The sequence below is a fragment of the Homo sapiens genome, chromosome X (genome assembly GCF_000001405.40).
Source record: "Homo sapiens chromosome X, GRCh38.p14 Primary Assembly".
In the NCBI taxonomy this organism is placed as follows: domain Eukaryota; kingdom Metazoa; phylum Chordata; class Mammalia; order Primates; family Hominidae; genus Homo; species Homo sapiens.
This window is the reverse complement of record NC_000023.11, coordinates 42,736,650-42,757,073: the sequence shown is the minus strand read 5'-3', so window position 1 is coordinate 42,757,073 and position 20,424 is coordinate 42,736,650. Positions and strand designations below refer to the sequence as shown.

Sequence of the window (20,424 nt, the reverse complement as noted above, 5' to 3'; positions counted from 1 at the left end):
TTGAGATGGTCAGTGTCTTCAAAACAATGACTAGAACTATGAACACTTACACATGTTCTCCATGGGCACTGTAAAGGTAGAAATTGCACTCTAGAATATCCAACTTATCAATTCTTCCGTGGCAGGAAGAATGGGAACTGTTTTCCTCATCCCACTCCACCAATGCTCTACCTTAAACTCCTACTCACCTGCTCTAAGTTAGCATAGAATTTTTGTTTCAAAGAATATCACATGGAGTACTAGAAATGGCATAGAAAGGCCTCAGAGGCCCAGATTTTGGAGTGGAAGGAGGTATATCTAACCTATTCATCTCTACTACTTCAATCTTAACTGTAGCTGCTTCTCTCTTATCTGCTTTATCTATTATGTTTCCTGGTCAGTTTGCATTTGAAGAAAGAGTTTGCTTCTGGGAAGAAAAAGCTGCCACAAAATAACTACTACATCATCAGTTAATCAGATTGTGAGTCTATCTCCCCCACTGAAATTTATGATGTGACTTTAGAACAGTATCTCTGCTGCCACTGATCCTTTGAATCACATGAAACCACCGAGGCCCATAAATACCCAGCCAAGGGCAGTGACTTTCTGTACCTGGTACTATCCAGGGTTACTTTCCTTTTCCCATTAGGATCATCTCCTCCTTGAATTCCTCTTCTAGCATATTTCACCTTTGGTGCCACACATTGGTCTCAGGACCCACTTTGGATACCCTTTCGGTGACATCTCATTGAGCAGTTCTCAACCCATGCCGCTTAAATTTCTATGTTGTCTGCCCCACAGATTGCTATAACTCCTGGTTTGGAGTTCCCTTATCAACCATAGATCCAACCTTGCCCCACCCAAGCTCTTCACCAAGAAGACAGATTAAACACAAAGCTGAGCTCCTGTAAACTCAGCTTGTGGTAGGCATGTGAGCAGAACTGGAGCAAGTTCACATGGCCGTGGGAGATCTGCATGGTAGGCTTCTACCTGACATAGCCTGAGCTTCAGGAAGTCGTGCCTGCTGAGCATCCTCGAGGGGCCGTGGTTACGCCCACACTATTGCATTCCCTGAAAGGCAAACTTCTGTCCTACTTTTTCTGTGACTCACTCGGTGCCTGTTCCCTCTTGGAATTAACCCAAGGAAAAGAGTCCTCTCAGCAAAACAAAGTTAGCTTGCTTCCTTGTGTGTGGCCTGCTTATTTTATTTTTTAGAGCTATACTTCAGAAGTGCAGAGCAGCCTGAGGGCCCTTTTTCTCCATTTTATTTTGTGTGTCTTCTTAAAAATTGTATCTTGGCTAGAACTACTCTTTCTTCCTTGGTGGTTTTATAACTCACAAGGTGAATGGTGATACCCTGAAAGATCAACAGGAATACCCTCAGGGTAAGTAAAAAGAATATCATATATAATAAACATGCTTCCCAGAACTGGAGCAGAAGCCTCGGGAAGAAGGACAAGCATTCCATCTTGGTTGTGGGCAAATGGGAGCAAGAAGGGCAGAAGTATTAATACTTAAGAGTAACCTTAGGACAAAGTTTACACCCAATAGGTACTTGGGGGTTGGAGGAGAGTTATCTTTGAAAAGTGCCCTGAGATTGGGAATGAGATGACAGGCGGAATATGTCCTCATTCCTCTGAATGTCCCACAATTCTAACCTTATACTAGTTCCATACCAAATTCTAAATATTTGATTTTACAAGTCTTATCCTGGGTTACCTAGGAAACAGTCTGAGGCAAAAACCTTATGTGCTAAACTTTATTGAAGAGAGAAAATTAAAAAAAAAATAGGAGTGAGGGGAAAGGAGGTACCAAAGTAGGGAGGGCAGGAGAAAAATATTCAAGGATATGTTTTTAAACTAGCCATTGCTTTGTAACAAGTGTAGGCAATTACTTAGTCTTATGAGACATCTTCAAAAAGGCTGTCAGAACCATTACATCTCAGAACAGTCCATTATGGTGGAAGAAAGGAGAATTTATCTTCTGGCTCCCATCTGTCCACTATCTTTCATTAGTCCAGTTTGCTTTATGGGGTATTAATTTCCTATAGTGGATGATGTGGTGTGTAGGACCTACGTGCTCCTTCCTCCAGTTGCCAGGAATGTTGGGTTCTAATGGCTCATAGTGATCCCTCTCAGGGAATTGCCCTAGGCCCAGGGTCAGTAAACAATTTTTTTTCTTTTCTTTTTTGTAAAACATCACATAGTTACTATTTTATGCTTTGCAGGCAATTTAGTCTCTGCCACAGCTACTCAAGTCTGCCATTGTAGTGTGAAGGAAATTGGAGGCAATACATAATTGAGTAAGTGTAGTTGTGTGCCAATAAGATTTTATTTGCAAAAAAAAGAGGCAGGCAGGCTATGGCCCACAGGCCAACCCCTGTCCTTGGCTAAAGGGAACTGCTTTTTCTAAGGTCATTCCCCTCCCCAGGGATAGCCCGTATCCAATGTCTGATTGATGAGAGACGAGTGAACAAAGGCTCTTCCCATTCCCCTAATTCAAGACATCTCTGAAGGACCATCCCAGCCCCAGAGCTCCCTATGGCATAGGTCATTATTGTGATTAGGTTGAAATTCAAACTTTTCCCTATGCCCATTCTGGCAAGCAGGCTTCCCTCAATTCCTTATCAGCAACTTTGTTTTGGTGGAGCCCCCCGATAAACTTCCTGCATACAAATCCCCTTCTCCGAGTCTGCTTCCTCCACAATCCAACCTAAGACACTCCCAGCACAGGATTGCTCTTATCAGCTGTTGGGAAAGCCACAGTCCTATGGGTCCACATCATCCAGGGCACAGATAGGATGATCTTTTTTTTAACTAGTTAATCTCTAACAGTGGACAGGGCAGCAGCAATAACCTACTTGGCTCCATGATGACAGGGACAAGGCAAGCTATTGCTAGGGCCACTCTAAACAGAAAGCAGACAGAGTAAAGCTCTGGCAAGGCACACAAACTGAGCCTAGTACATATAATTTTGAAGGGAGGAAAATGTAGTTTTCCAACTCCTCTATCTTCCCATATCACTCTGTTTTCTCTCCTTTTTTAATAAAAAGGACCCTACTATTTTTCTCTCTTTCTATTGATTTCCCTCCCCTCCTGCCCCCCTCCCCTTCTCTCCACTCCCCTTCCCTTCCGTTCTTTTCCTCTCATCCCCTAGCAGTATCATGGTTTAAGTAACAGTAGACTTGAAGGAAAAGGAGATAAATTTAGAGGAAATTAAGTATGGCCTTCAAGTATAAGTGAAAGAGATACCTCTGGCTGCATTATTTACTAGCTGCCTGACTTTATAAGGGTCAGTAACCTCAACTATAACATGGAACAGTAATGCCTGATTTGCCTGCATATTTTACAGAGCATTGTACCAAATTATAGGACATGTATTATATCACTATGCATGGGTGTTTCATGTATATGACTGTGTATGTGTTAAATCTATTAAAACTAAAAGATTTCCATGAGCCATTTCTTCAAGATGTCACCTATTCAAAGAACACTTTTCTTGACCTCACTAACCAATTTCTAATGTGTTTTTGTGTATTTCTAAAAAAAGTGAAAGATCAGATTCTGCAAGCAGTATCAAGTGTCAGGAATTCTCACTGAGGATAGTTTGGCCCCCTGAGGCTTTTAGCCAAGGTTGCTGAACACAGGTGGCCTAAGCAGTCATATCATGTGATTATTACTTGATGCCTCTTAGGTTCTTTTTGGGTACAGAGCACTGGGAAAAATCCACACTGAACCCATGGGAAGCTGGGGGACTTTCTAGAGGTGGAAGCAGATAACAGCTGCTAATTCTGCTCATTGTGCATTTTCGGCAGAGCAGCGAGGTTTCTTGAAGATTGTTTTAAGAAGTCGGGCTTACATATGCACTTTGTTAAAATTCACACTGGCTGTAAATGTCAAAGGCAACTTCAAGATCCTACTTAACAGAAGAGAGGAGAAGCAAGTTTGGAGAATGAAATGAGGGGCAGGTTTATCATTTTGCATGAAACCAACACTGTACTACGTTTTTTTTTTTTAATCACAAAGTTCCTGAAATTGTATTTCTAAAACACGCCTTGTCCTTGATGCTCCATCCCAGCCCAATGCCCCGAGAAATGGCAGGAAACTACTGGTGGCTTAGATTACAGAGAGAAAGGTCAGCATGCAAGTAGTTTACTTGGGAGGTGATCCCAAGAAATTCCAGAGAATAATGGGGGAAGAGAAACACAGCAGGGCAGGCAGCCAACCACAGATGTATTATCAAGCTAGTTAGCATATGGGCAACCGGAGAGCAATCCATCTGGGGTACTCTGTGGGGCAGTATAGGACACACCTCAGTTATTCCAACCAAGGGGCAAGAGAGCTGGGGTATTTATCCACCAGATCCCATCAGGCATTGATTAAGGACTTCTCTCAGGGAGTGTTTATTCTACCTCACTTGCAACCAACGGTGTGCATAGACAGGGGAGTCTCCTGCCACAAGAGAAGGCTTCAAGCACAGAGATACAGAAGCTAGCAGTTGGAAGTCAGCCAGGGTGCACTAAAATTGGTTGAGTCTAGGGGAATATGAAGGTGATATCAATAGTATCTGCTACAACTAATGTTATTTGGCAAATGTGCTAATTTTTAATTGCTTCCTCTCTTTTTTTTTTGGAGACAAGTTCTCGCTTTGTCACCCAGCTGGAGTGCAGTGACGCAATCTCAGCTCACTGCAACCTCTGCCTCCTGGGTTCAAGCGATTCTCCTGACTCAGCCTCCCAAGTAGCTGGGATTACAGGCACGTGCCACCATGCCCGGCTAATTTTTGTATTTTTAGTAGAGATGGAGTTTTACCATGTTGGCCAGGTTGGTCACAAACTCCTGACCTCAAGTGATCCGCCCACCTCAGCTTCCCAAAGTGCTGGGATTACAGGCGTGAGCCACCGCACCCGGCCTTAATTTCTATTAGTAAAGTTTGAGAGATCATTTTTTGGTTGTGGAGCATCTGTGGTGGACAGATGGTTCCAAATTATCCCTGCCTCACTATCACATCTTGGTATGATCCCCTCCACTTGAGTATGAAAGTGATGTGTGACTTTCTTCCAACCGATAGTGTATGGCAAAGGTGATGGGATGTCATTTACATGATTAGACTACATACAGTTGTGACTCTGTCATCCTAGCAGATTCTTTTTCTTCCTGGTTCTGATAAAATCAAACTACCATGTTAGAAAGACCCACATGGTAAGGAACTGAGGGTGGCCTCCGGTGAACATTCCTCAAGGAACTGAATCCTGCCACAACCACATGCACTTGGAAGCAGATTCTTCTGCATTCAAGCCTCAGATGAGACTCTGGCCCTGGACAACACCCACGCCTCTGAGAGACCATGACACGTAGAACCTAGCTAAGTCATGTAGAATCTCTGACTCACAGAAACTGTGAGATATTAAGTGTGTATTGTTTGAAGCTGTTAAGTTTGTGGTAATATTGCTATACAGCAATAGATAACTAATGTAGCATCCTAGAAGACATGGCTAAGAGGATTGGTTTAGTGACAAGATGAACCTCTGGTGAGTGTTAGGAAGTGTGAGTGTGAGATAAAAAGGACCCGTCCTGGCTAACATGGTGAAACCCTGTCTCTGCTAAAAATACAAAAATTAGCTGGGCGTGGTGGGCGCCTGTAGTCCCAGCTACTGGGGAGGCTGAGGCAGGAGAATGGCGTGAACCCGGGAGGCAGAGCTTGCAGTGAGCCGAGATCATGCCACTGCACTCCAGCCTGGGCGACAGAGCAAAACTCCGTCTCAAAAAAAAAAGGACCTGGAGAATGGAACAGGCTAATCAAATCTATACCTGATCAGGTATACATTTGATCATTCCTTTGGGCAACAGGAAGGGTATTGAAATGCTACTGCCAAGTGCAAAGACATTTTTAGGAAAATGTGATTAGAAATGTTCGACAAGAATGTTCAATGAGAATGTGTGATTCATGTGTTAGATCCTATTAGACAATAAAAAGGAAGCATGTTTGCAAAAAGCTTTGCACATAATAAGACTTTCACAGATGGATATGAGTTGCCCATATCTGTTTGCTGTAAGTAATTGTATGGTTAGGATAACGACATAGGTGGACTGGGAGTTAAGTGAAGCAGTTAAATGAGACCCATGCTCTCTACGGGAGACTGAGAAAGGGGAAGCATTGAGGTAAAAGTATACAGTAATCCCTTGGTATCCATGGGGTATTGGTTTCAGGACCCCCTTGGATGCCAGAATCCATGGATGTGAAAGTACCTGATATAAAACTACATAGTATTTTTTTTTATAACCTATGAACATTCCTCTAGATATTTTAAATCACCTTTACATTATTTATCATATGTAATACAATGTAAATGCTATGTAAATAGTTGTTATATTATATTGGTTTTATTTGTATTATTATTTTTAAATATTTGTTTCAAATTTTTTTATTTTTTAATTTTTGTGAGTACATAGTAGGTGTATCTATTTATAGTATACATGAGATACCTTGACACAGCATGCAATATGTAACAATCACATCATGGAAAATGGGGTTCCCATCATCTCAAGCATTTATCCTTTGTGTTGCAAACAATGCAATTATACTCTTTTAGTTATTTTAAAATGTACAATTAAATTATTATTGACTGTTTTCCCTCTGTTGTTCTAGCAATTACTAGGTCTTATTCATTTTTTCCATTTTTTTTGTACCCATTAACCATCCCAACTTCCCACCCCCACTCCCAACTACCCTTCCCAGCCTCTGGTAACCATCCTTCTATCCTCTATGTCTGTGAGTTCAGTTGTTTTTATTTTTAGTTCCCACAAGTAAGTGAGAACATGTGATGGTTGTCTTTCTGTACCTGGCTTATCTCACTTAACATAATGACCTCCAGTTCCATCCATGTTGTTGCAAATGACAGGATCTCATTCTTTTTTTATGGCTGAATAGTACTCCATTGTGTATAAGTACATTTACTCTATCCATTCATCTGTTGATGAACACATAAGTTGCTTCCAAATATTGGCTATTGTGAACAGAGCTGCAACAAACATGGGCCTGCAGATATCTCTTCGATTTACTGGTTTCCTTTCTTTTGGGTATATACCTAGCAGCAGGATTGCTAGATTGTATGGTAGCTCTATTTCTAGTTGTTTTGAGGAACCTCCTAACTGTTCTCCATAGTGGTTTTACTCATTTACATTCCCAGCAACAGTGTACCTTTTCAAATATTTTTGATCCGTGGCTGGTAGAATCTGACAATGCAGAATACAGGGATACAGAGAGCCAACTATACATTATGCTGGCTACCTGTACCAGGAGTACTCTTGAAGGAAGAGGACAGGAGGCTCCCACTGGACACATGGGATCCAACATCACACTTCTAAAAGGAGATAGTGTAATCGTGCTTTTTTTTTTTTTTAATCGTGCTTTTTTTTGGCATTTGATGCAGTACTAAGATAATGCACACAATAAAGCGTGAATGTCTAAGTGGCAGAAAGATGCCGTATAATGATCAGGACCATGTGGGAATAATTTTTCCCTAAGGTTGATTTTATTTTTCTTTAGCTACAGAATCCTATAGCAATAGATATTTTGTGTGTTCAGGAGAAGAAGAGAAAGAGGAATTTTCCTGTCTGTAATCTATACTTTCTACATATGAACTAAAATATCCTCTTTTCTCTTTTCTCTGCGATTTTGTGATGGTTGGATTTCTTACTCATATTTCTGAGGCTTAAGCTCCAAAATCATTATTGTTTTGTAGCTAAATGAAAGATTTAAGTATTTCTGTCTGTGGTATATCCATGGTTGACACAGGGATAAGGGGTGAGCAGAGGGAGAGTGTTCTAAACCCCAGAATACAGTGTTTTATATCCACCTCTAAGATTGAGGCTGAAAAAGCCTATTTATAAAATACCTTTAAAATTATAGAATTCCTTCTGTATCTGAAAGTACTGTCCTGAGCCTTCTGGAATAATCAAAGAAATGGCTGATAAAAGAGCTTAGCAATCATTTGAAGCACTGAGCTAGCACCATCAAGACACTTTGGGATTGAACAATTGGTGGAGAAATCATCCCCAGAACAATTGATTTTTTGGTACATTCAACAACTGCCTAATAGTCACAACCATCAACTTAAGGGGGAAAATACACACTACTATATAAACCTCTGAATGTGCTTTACAATAGCTACAATTTCAGAGAAATGAGATCTTATTTAAAAGATGGATTCTTAAAGCTGTTGCAATTTTTGAGTAACACTAATGTGCAGGGGAGAAGCTGACTTCCATAACAGTACTTTATTTTTCTGTAAAGATGCTACTCAACAGCCCACATCCCACTTCTTGTTTTGTACAATTTTTGCTGCCCAAGGTAGGGTGCAGGGAGGCAGGAGGAACTTGAAAGATCAAACACAAAGATGGAATCGCGGAGTGCCCCAGCAAACAGGATCCCTTCCTGATGACTCAGTAGCCAACAATCTTCTTATCCAACATAGTTTTTTAAATTTGGACAACATACAAATATCTTTTAAAGGGGAAGAAAGACTGCATGTAAGTGTTATCTTTACTATTTCTTCTTGTGTTATTTAAACATGTAGGAACAAGCACTAGATGTGGTAGGCCGTTTTTGCATTGCTATAAAGTAATACCTGAGGCTGGGTAATTTATAAAGAAAAGAGGTTTGATTGGCTCATGGTTCTACAGACAGTACTAGAAGTGTAGTGCCTGCATTTGCTTCTGGTGAGGGCCTGAGGAAGCTTACAATCATGATGGAAAGGGAAGCAGGCATCTCACATGGTGAGGACAAGAACAAGAGAGAGATGGGGGAGGTGCACACACTTTTAAATGACCAGAGCGCCTGTGAACTCAGAGTGAGAACTCACTTAACACCAAGGAGGTGGCACCTAGCCATTCATGAGGGTTCCACCCCCATGATCCAAACACCTCTCACCAGGTCCCACCTCCAACACTGGGGATTACATTTCAGCATGAGATTCGGAGGGGACAAATATCCAAGCTACATCACTTAGGTATAATAAGCTGCTTATATGTATTGTCATTACACCAGTATAAATTAAAAATAGATTTCCAAATGAAAAGTAAGCAAAACTAGGAAGTGACAAAATACAAATTAATGACATTTATGTGACAAATAAGATGATAATAAAGGCAAACTGGTATTTACAGTTTAAATCTTCATTCATTCATGTGTTTGTTCATTTGACAAGCACTGGTTGAGCACCTATTATTCCTAATGATGCTTTTCTAGGTGCTGCAAATATATCTGTGAGCAAAATAAAATTCCCCATCTTCATGAAGCTTACATTCTAGTGTTATAAGATAGATAGAAAACCAAATAAATAAGTGAAATATGTAGTGTGTCAGATGATATTGAGTGCTAAGGAGAAAAAATCTAGAGAAGGGAGATTTGAGAAAAGGGAGCTGCAATTTGTAATTTAGGAAAGGCCTCATGGAGAAGGTGGTATTTGTAGAGAAAACTTGAAGCAGGTGAAAGAGTGAGTATTTGGGTGTTACTGGGTGAGGAAGGCTCAGTGTTCCAGTCAGAGGGAACAGTGGGTGCAAAGGCTCTGAGGCTGAGGTAAGCCTGTTTTTGACTTGTCTCTTTTTCAAACTAATGTAAAACCTCTGCTCTTACTGTGTTGGCTGTTAGGTCATTTGTCTTTTACTGGAGGATAATGATATCTTTTATATATTACATCTACTTCATCTTCAAAAATTAGGTAATAACAGTAAAGTGATATTATTTAACAGTAATGAGATAGTAAACCTAATTATACACACACAGGTATTGAAATACAGTAACAGACCACATTAATTGGTTGGTGGCATTATAAAGACTATGCTTAATTGAATATATTTATATTATCAAAATCTAAATGTAGAGTTAGTAAATTTGCATTAATATGCTTACAGATGTCTGGTAACAAGACCACGGATGCTCTGTGGCCCCAGGAACCCCACTTTAATAAACAAGGAGGACCCCTTTTAAGCCTGCCTTCTAACTGGTTGATTCGAGGTCATCTGTTACACTAGTGAATATGGAGATACAAGATTTCTTCACTTTGGCCCCTATGATATTAGTGAATATGACTCAACACATGGTTTGGGGAATGTACAGGGTGCATGGCTAGAAAATAAGTTCCAAAAAACAATCTTAGTTCTTCTGTTGTCATACCCACCTATGAGAATTGCTTCCGTGATTTTAGACCATGTGCAGCCCAGATTCTCTGCCCATACTTATCTAGGCAGGAAACAGCTTTGTTGATTTTGCAACACCGAGAGGAGATTGGAGAGTAGTTTGGGCAAAGCAGCTTCTGCACCATTCCTATTAGCCCACAATTCTGCAGCTGAGACAGAATACAGAGCCTGAAAATAATTCTTGTGAGGCTGCCTCATTAGTCACATGGCAAGACTGGCTTCAGGGTTAAGGTGGGAGTGGCCAATGAAGCAATGAAAACTCTCTTTGCCCATGCTTTTGGAAGCTGCACTAGTTTTGATGAAGGTTCTGAGAAAGTTTTCCAAAATGCATAACATAAGAGAGGTACATAGGGCATCAGCATTAGGAATGATTGTAGCTGGCAATATCTGTTACAATAACTGGTGCATATCTGTGACATTTAAGATGAAATTGGGAGAACTCCAAGATATTTTGAGAAGGAATTGAGCATAGTGAAAAAAAAAAAAGAAAACATTCTTACCATGAAATGGTCTGGAAAAATGGATATGTATGTTAAATCAATTTTTTTTTTTTTTTTTTGGATACAGGATTTTACTCCAGTTGCCCAGGCTGGAGGGCAATGGCACAATCTGGGCTCACTGCAACCTCTGACTCCTGGGTTCAAGAGCTTCTCCTGCCTCAGCCTCCCAGGTAGCTGGTTAAGTAATGGGTGCATGCAACTGTGCCCAACTAATTTATATATATATATATATTTTTTTTTCTTTTTTTTTGTAGAGACGGGATTTCACCATGTTGCCCAGACTGGTCTCGAACTTCTGGGCTCAAGTGATCCACCCACCTCAGCCTCCCAAAGTGCTGGGATTACAGGCGTGAGCCACCATGCCTGGCCAATGGGTATGTATTTTTGATTAACGTTTCTTAATTAACCTTACATGGAAAAGTAGATGAGTTTGATAGGCTATCCTGACTAATCTGGACTGCATGGAACTGCTTAAAGGTAATTTTCTCATCAGGAGTAATTAAATTCTAGGACTAGGCTGTAATCTTGACATGATAATATGATTACTGCCTCTTAAAATAACATACATTTTATACATACAAAAATCTTGTCTCCTTCACTCATACTACATGCTGATAACCTTACCACCATCACCACCATTTTGCCTCCACTGCATCCCCCTACACATCAGATATACAAACATACATTTAAGAGAATTGTCTGGGATCCCATAGGATTAACATAGTGTTTCATATGCATCAAGAGGTGAGAAATGAAGATTTCACATCCATAATTCCATAAAGTATCAGAAGACACAAGGTGTTAGCATATGATATTACAAAGGTAGTATAGCATAGTGTCGAGGAGCAGGGGCCCTGGAGGCAGACTGCCTGGGTTGAAATCCCAGCTGCTACTAACCAGCTGTGTGAGTTACTTATCCCTCTGTATGCTTTGATATGCTCATCAGTAAAATGAATTGAATAATTTTACCTAAGTCATGTGATTGTAAGAATTAAGTAAATTACTGTACGTTAACCACTTAGAACAATACCAGCATATAGTAAACATTATAGAACTAAATACATTGAAATAAAGAAAGAAGGCTTATCTTAGAAAAAAATAGTAAGTGGATTATTAAAAATTGTTAAGACATGACGATAGAGATATTTATAAAGCATTTGATTCCTGAAGTAATAGCAAGATCTTTATTTTTCAATTTGTGTAAGATTTTGGTTATGCAGAAGACATTGTTTTTTGAGTAGAATGCAATCAATACCTTAGAACTATTTGGCATGTTTTTCCCCTAATGTGAAGCATGAGTTGTAAGAAAAAATAATATATATTCATGAAAGAGCACTAATAGGCTGAGAAATCAACAACTGCTTGACATTCATGAAATGTCTTTTTCAGTGTATCATGAAGTAGCTCAGGAATAGGCATTGTCTGAAGAATAAAAACTTGGTACAGATTAAGAACAGGGAAGACTCAAATATCCTTAATTCCTTACTTTATATGTTATAAACACTGTAGAGGATGCTGTGGTATGCTGCTAAGATACTGCCTTCAGGATTAAAGTACTCACTCCCTCAGGTTTTGGGATTGTTGGCAACATACATCCTTTAGCTGTTCACTCTTTCTAGAAATTGCTTTCTGCTGAAGAGATCTGCCTCATCCAAAGTCATGCTCCATTTCTGCGGGGGAACTGATACCCAGTGATCGGTATATCTGGGTGTATGAAGACTCGACCCACTTGCCCCAGTTTGAGAAAGTTCTTCAGGGCCATCCCAGGTCTTCAGGTCTCCATACGATTGGCTGAGGCCTTTGTTGTAATTGCTTCTCAATTCAACAGTGCCCTCTGTTTAATCTTGCTTCATTCAATCTTCCAGTTATTAATCCCAAAAGGACTCCCCCATAAATCTCTTGCTGGCAAATATCTGACTCAGAGTCTAGTTCTTGCAAACGTGACCTGCATCAGGTATATATTGAGTAGGGTATATATCAGCCACAGTGATATGAAGCCATGGTATTCTGGTATTTCATTTTCCTTTTCAACAGGGATATATTAATGTGCTTATTGCAATCTTCTTTAAGGATTTCTTAACTTCTTCAGCAAAGTCTTTATCCATTGGTCCCTGGATCAGACCTCATCAAAGCACCCGGCCATAGTCAGAATCCAAGAATGAAACAATGGCCAAGTTCAGGGTGGAACCAAAGGTCCTACACTTAAACAGGTCCTTGATAACTGAGTGTAACTAGTATTAATTATTGGTAAAGAACAGGTGAGATAACATCAGGTGAGGTTAAGTCATGTAATACTTCCCCTCAGAAAGAACACCAAGGAGTTTATCACACTCCAGAAACAAGATGTGAGTGCTGCTTAGATGTCCTGTTCTTCAAAGAGCCCATATGATCACATTAAACTCATTCTCATTATTGAGCATGATGGAAGGCAGAGTCAGTGCATCCAAGAAAGCTTGGACAACATCTTTTGTTCAAAGATGCCTTGTATGATTAGATGCTAAAGATCTATATATTTAATCTTAGGCTTAAAGAAAGAGGTATGCTTCTATCCTTCATGTGTGGTGGTTCAAGATCTGGATCCAGCTGAAATGGATTTGTTTACCCTTGTGAGCTCCTAGGTTCTCACACCATGCCTTGAGAACACTGTTACAAAATTCCTGAAGACACATAATTCCAACAGTAGTAATAGCTTGAACACTGATGTCCAATATGATAGATGAGCCACATCCCAGAAGTTTTTTTGCTACGTTCTTTTGTAATAACATCCGGTAGCAAACAGTATGAGTATGTGGGATAAATATTTACTGAAACACCTAAATGGTTAGGGATGGTAGCAGAGTTAATTCTCCAAATTTAATGTAGATTATAGCAGTGTGCTGCATTCATAGAAAGATTCTCATTGTTATTTTGACAGATATTTGGAAATTCTAAAAACATCAGCAAAATACATTTTACAAAAAAAGATTGGAAGCATCATAGACTCAACACAGCAGACACACCTCCATATTGAATCTATAGACACTAAAGCACATTATGGAAAATATCACATGGTGCAGAGGCATGTTAGTGCTGAAACCAGGTCATGTGACCAGCTCTGCAGACCCTGGAGTCAGTTTAATAGCTTTTGATTAGCATATTCTTTCAAAGGGAGGCCAACTTCAGGCACAATCTGCATTCAATATTCTTGAAGATTTAAGCCCACTTGCACACCCTGGGATGGTTGATATGTGCCCAATATGATCAGAAAACTTATTTGTGTTAAGCCGGTCCAAATGACAAAAAGTCTATGTCTGTTGCTATTTCACAAAATAAGCTTTGTCTCATCTACGGCCCTTGCCCTCAATAGATTTTATATTCTTTTGAAAATTATTTCAAATCTTGGTCAAGAATGGATATCTCTTGCTAGATTATTTTCTTGGGCATTAACAATAACAAAATTTTACAAGGCTGGACAGTGGCATAGAAGTTGAAATGACATATGGAGAGAGAGAGAGAGTACACAGGGAAAAAAAAGGCACCAGGCATATATGTGAAGTCATGTTGGAAATAGATTCTTCAGCCCCAGTCATCCCAACCGATGCCACATGGAGTCAGGAAGCGCACAACTGAGCCCTTCCTGAATCCCCAGCTCATAAAACCATGAACAAAATAAAATGATTCTTTCAATCCTCTATGTTTTTGGAGTAGTTTGTTATGTAGCAGTAGATAACTGAAGCAAGAGGATTTGCTAATGACCTGATTAATTAATCAAATATGCTGCTGAGTATAGAAGGTTATGTACATTATTGAGACTATGGAGCCATTCCACCTGCCTTCAGCTTCTGGATTTGCCACTTGTAAGCTCTATGTTGTTGAGAAATGCATGCTTCAGTTTCCTCATCTGTAAAATAGAGATAATGACTACCTCACAGTATTGTTATGAGGATTTAATTGGTTAAAACTTAGGAGGTGCTATATAGATTTTAACTATTATTATTGTGACATGTAGCTGGGCCTCAACCATAGCAACCTGTAGAGGGCTCTTTTGGTCAGCATAGTAGGAATAACCTTGAGATTTAGTAAGAGATGAGATTAAATCCTAGATCAATGATGTATGTGTAATTCTGGAGCTTTTCGGGGCCTCAATTTTTCCATTTGTATTATGAGGCTAGTAATACATATTTCTTAATGTTCTTGTGAGAATTAGATGAGCTAACCTGGTTAAGTACTAGGCTCAGAGCCTGGGAAGCAGTTAGCATTCAGTAACTGTTGACTCCTTTGGCACCCCCATCACCCTATTTGAATCCACATAGGGTAAAAATCTCTTAGCAGAAGAGAGTAAGAGGTTGGCTGGTTTTAAACTCTTCAGCAATGTTAAACACAGAGTTTACTCAAGTTTCAGGGTGAAAGCCTAGTTCAGTTGTTTTCAAGGAATACCTGAAAGGGTATCTGCAAAAGTAACCTGCTGATATCCAGTGTTCTTTTCTTTTAACGAGATACTATTCTTGTCATACAAAACTATGGTTTGGGTGTCAGTAACTGGCTGAGGATGAGCCGTATCAATTATCTGTTACAACTCAAGGCTATCAATCAAAACACGTATTATTTCCTATTCCCTAGGCAACCAAAGGCATCAAACTAATAAGAACTCGGAGGAGCAAATAAACAGGAATGTGAAGTTACCAGGTTCCTGGGAAGGTATAGCACATCAGGGGCTCTTAGTTCCACCAGTGCACTCTCGTTGGTACCAGATGCAGTGAAAGCATGAGGGAAGTAGTAGAGGAAGAATGGGGCAAAAAAAAAAAAATCCCCAAATCAGGGCTGAAGTAAACTCAGTAGAGAATCTAAACACTGGACTCTGCTGCAGGTAATAAACACAGCCTCATCAAAATAAGCTCAAGAAGGCTTGGCTAGTGATTTCCAGAGAATTGCCCCCATCTCGGACAAAAGCATTAAGAAAACTTGAAGTGATGTCTGCTCATGAGAAAATAATGGCAAAGTCAGAAAAAATAGAGAAGTGAATCAGAATAAATCACCTTTTAAGTGAGCAGAGTCAGGGACCAGGAAGAACAAAATTTCCAGTACCCGTTTTATATCAGTGTGGAAAACTAGCTAATTTTAACCTGTCATTGTACATAAATCACTCTTCAAGCTTGGTGGAGGCAGGATTCTTCCTCTAATACATCATATTTACCCGAAAATGGGTCACCATAAAACGATAATGGTGGTTTTTTGCTAAGGAATATGTCAAAACTATAAAAATTGACCCCCAGAAGAAGTTATATGTGAGAGTAAAAACTGAAACATATTCTTAGAGGACATTAAAGCACAATCAAACTCTTCATACAATGGGGAAAATAAAGGAAAATATGATATTATATTCCCAGGAGTTCTAACTAATAGTAGAATGAACCCTTAATTCCAGATTCCTCAAACAGAAGTGATCTAGTGACCTCCATCCTACTTCAGGATCCCAATAAATCATATAATAACATGGTATTTATTAAGTACTTAGTATGTGTCTGGCCCAGTGCTCCTCTTTTTAAATATATGTCTTCATTTAGTCGTTACAATAATCATATGATTGAGGAAATATTTTAACCCTCATTATTTAGGCAAATAAATCAAGACTTAAGAGAAATTAACTTATTGGCCCAAAGTCACACAGCTACCAAATGGCTGAGTGGGGATTTGAATTTAAAACTCCTTGACTCCTTGAGTCAATATCATCAAGCTCTATACTATATTGCCTCTATAAATTCCCTACTATTTATGTGCTCATGAATACTTCCCCAACTTGATTACCTAGAATAAGTCATTCCATGTTCTCAAATAACTTTTACTTTCTCTATGCTATAACTATAGATTTAAAGAACACAAAGAAATAGATTATATATGATAACAGGATGTGATAGGGCAAATGCTTTAGTAGAGAATTAAGCATATTTTGTACTCTGAACACTTCACTATTTACCATGTACATAGAGGAGATACATGACAAATATAATTCATTGACTGACAAATCACTAATTTATTTATTTTTTTATTTTTTGAGACAGAGTTTCACTCTTGTTGCCCTAACTGGAGTGCACTGGCGCTATCTTGACTCACTGCAACCTCCGCCCCCTGAGTTCAAACGACTTTCCTGCCTCAGCCTCCCAAGTAGCTGGGATTACAGGTGTGTGCCACTATGGCCAGCTAATTTTGTATTTTTTTAGTAGAGATGGGGTTTCACCATGATGGTCAGGCTGATCTCAAACTCCCGACCTCAAGTGATCCACCTGCCTAGGTCTCCCAAAGTGCTGAGATTACATGAGTGAGCCTAATTTACTATTTAATTGACCTTTAAATAAGTGTTTCTAAGAGGGCTCCCAGTGGTTCCTACTTCCTGGTATTCATGACCTTGTGTAATCTCCTCCCCTTGAGTGTGGGCTGGATTTAGTGACTTGCTTTTAATTAGCAGGATATGGCAAAAGTCACAGGATGTCCCTTCTGAGATTAGTCCTCTCTCTCTCTCAGAGAGTCCTCGCTTTGAGAGAAGCAAACTGCCATGTTGTGAACTGCCTTACAAATAGGTCCATGTGGCAAGGAATTGAGGGAAGCCTCTGGCCAACAGCCAGCAAGAACTTGACATCCTCAGTCTAACAAACAGTCCCCAGAAAACTAAATCCTGCTGACAACCATGTGAGTGAGCTTAGAAGCTGATCCTTCCCAAGATGAAATTGCAAGTTCAGCTTACATCTTGATTGCAGCCTTGTGAGTTAGAAGATCCCATCTAGCAACTCCTGGATTTCTGAACCACAGAAACTGGGAGTTGATAAATGTTTTTTGTTTAAAACCACTAAGTTTTGGAGTAATCTGTTACATGGTCATAGATAACTAATACAGTGCCCCTCCGTTTTGTGACAAAGAGCAGCAGTGCTGTAGATGTTTTCATTTAAGGAAGTCCAATTTGAAAAAAAATTACACAGGAAATCTTGTTGCCATGGCAACGAGTTACAGGTTTCTTATGCTCAGTATAAACATTGGATAATAATCCCAATGGTTCGGAGCTCACAGATTTCGTCTATTAAAAGAGAAATTAAATGTTGAGGAAGGCATAGACAGTGGGCCTCTCATGTGGCCTTTGCTCCAAGAATCCTACCACAATGGTCTCTCCTCTGAATTCCAGTGGTTGCTTCAGGACTGAGGAGAAGGGACAGTAGGGGCAGCTATTACTTAGTCTTTGAAAGTTAGAGGTAAAGGAAAGCCAGCTAGATCTCCCACTTATGAGCCAAATAGAAAGGACATTACTTTGCTTTCGGATACTCTCAGAAGGAGAAATGGTAACGGGAGAATAAGCTGAATACTTTGCATTTGTTAAACCCTTTATTCTTTTCAAGTGACTGCCATGTCTTATTTCCTTGGCACCTCACAGTGACCTAAACAGGTAGGCAGGGAAGGCACTGATTTATATTATATGTGGCAAAAGTGTATTTATGTAATTTTTGCCTTCCGTTAAAAAAATAAAAGTAACAATCAGAGAAATGATTCTTCTGATCTCACAAAACCAGTGGGCAGTAGAAGCAGAGTGAGAACCAAGCACTAATTTCCTGAGTACTTAGCCTTTTCTTCCCACTGCCTGTCTCTGCTGGTCAAACTTTCCCCTAGCAAACATTTATTTTCCTCCCTGGGAAGATAACACTGCTATTTCAGAGGTAGTGACCCTGAGCCACCATGGACACAACGAAGCTTGTATGCCTTTTTCAGGAGTTGTGGGAGACCATCTGTACTTTTCTCTCATTATATCCAAGAGGCCACCTTCACATTTTAAAAATTGATATCATTCTTGTAACTTGTTCATACAGCACTTCTTAAAATGGTTATTTTAAAATTGTTATTTATTTTTAATTTATTTACTTTTAATATTTATTTTAGATTCAGGGGTACATGTGCAGTTTTGTTATATAGGCAAATTGCATGTCGTGAGGGTTTGGTGTACAGATTACTTAGTCACCCAGGTAATAAGCATAGTACCTGATAGGTAGTTTTTCGATCTTCACCCTTCACCCACCCTCCACCCTCAAGTAGGCCCTGGTGTCTATTGTTTCTTCCTTTGCGTCCATGTGTACTCAATGTGTAGCTCCCACTTGTAAGTGAGAACATGAAGTATTTGGTTTTGTGTTGGTGTGTTAGTTCGCTTAATATAATGGCCTCCAGCTCCATCCATGTTGCTGCAAAGGACATGATCTTGTTCTTTTTTATGGAGTTATAGTATTCCATGGTGTATATGTGCCACATTTTCTTTATCCAGTCTACCGTAGAAGGACATTTACTTGATTCCATGTGTTTGCTATTATGAATAGTGCACATGTCTTTATGGTAGAATGATTTATATTCCTTTGGGTATACACACAATAATGGGATTGCAGGGTAGAATGGCAGTTATATTTTAAGTTCTTTCAGAAATTGCCAAACTGCTTTCCATAATGGCTGAACTAATTTACATTCCTGCCAGCAGTGTATGAGTTTCCTCTTTGTAACCTCACCAGCATCTGTTATTTTTTGACTTTTTAATAGTAGCTATTCTAACTCGTGTGAGATGGTATCTCATTGTGATTTTGATTTGCAGTTATGTAATGATTAGTGATGCTGAGCATTTTTTCATATACTTTTTGGCCACATGTATGTATTCTTTTGAAGTGTCTGTTCATGTCCTTTGCCTGCTTTTTAATGGGGTTCTTAGTTTTTTTGTGTTAATTTGCTTAAGCTCCTTATAGGTTCTGGATATTAGGCCTTTGTCGGATGCCTAATTTGAGAACATTTTCTCCCATTCCAGCAGCATTTTTTAAAACTTGATGTGTACCAAGTTACCTAGGAACTGAATTAATATTCAGATTCCCAGGTCCTACCTCCCAGATTCTGATAATTAGAACTGGAGTGGAGCCCAAGACCATTTTTTTCCCCAAGCACTTCCATGTGATTCTGATGGAGGTGGTACATGACCAACTTTGGTAAATGCTACCTGACACATTCCTTATCAGTATTGTGCTATAACAAAAAGCCGAAAGACACACACCTGTCATACACATGAATACACACACAGAGGAATATCTTGCTTTATGCAGTAAATGGTTTCCAAAAAGGATGTATGTGTATCACATTTTATACCTCAGCTCACACATGAAATATGTTACATTCACATATCATTTCCTTTCAAAGAAAGAACAACATCTTAAAGGTTGTTTGATCCTTAGCACCTAGCACAATTCTTGGTGCCTAGAATTGGCTGACTTGGTGTTGCTTAAATGAATGACTATTCACTTTATTCAAACTGGGAGAAGGTCTTAGCATAGCATGATGATAAGTCAAAGATTTGCTCAGCACCACGTAGCACATCTTAACAGCATTCACTCCTATTTCCATTAAATGATTGTAAGCACTTCTTTTATTTTAGGATTCAGAAAGGCAAAAAGTAATAATAACATGGACAGTGAAGTACATGGACAGTGAAATACCCCTGCAAATGGGAAGCCCTAAGAAAAGTAGTTGTCTTAGTCATGGGGTCTTTCTTTTCCTCTCCAAATCTTAAAAGTTATGAGCTCAGCCTTGCCAGGAGATTTTATGATCTATCACATTCGTAACTCCAGAAGAAGAAAGGACATAATAAATGGAACTAACATAAGGCCTTAAACTCCCCTTTCCCAAATAACAGAGAAAATCTTTGTTCTTGAATCAATAAATTAAAACACTTTATTTAGCAAAATTAATTAGAATCTTTTAAATAG

The 20,424-nt window shown here is 39.4% G+C and overlaps 1 long non-coding RNA gene across 1 annotated transcript in view, besides 1 other annotated feature; it reads left to right on the top strand.

The window, feature by feature from the left end:
• The first annotated feature begins 1,154 nt into the window (after positions 1-1,154).
• Positions 1,155-20,424, top strand: part of LOC105373186 (uncharacterized) — a 29,294-nt gene continuing 10,024 nt past the window's right edge. The window contains exon 1 of the long non-coding RNA XR_002958821.2: positions 1,155-1,364. This is a non-coding gene — a long non-coding RNA (uncharacterized LOC105373186). The remainder of the gene's footprint in view (positions 1,365-20,424) is intronic.
• Positions 3,982-4,276: a silencer, noted in NCBI's record as "tiled region #14962; HepG2 Repressive non-DNase unmatched - State 24:Quies". NCBI's record gives its function as "represses a minimal TATA promoter and a strong SV40 promoter by Sharpr-MPRA in HepG2 cells {active_cell/tissue: HepG2}" and the evidence as "EXISTENCE:reporter gene assay evidence [ECO:0000049][PMID:27701403]".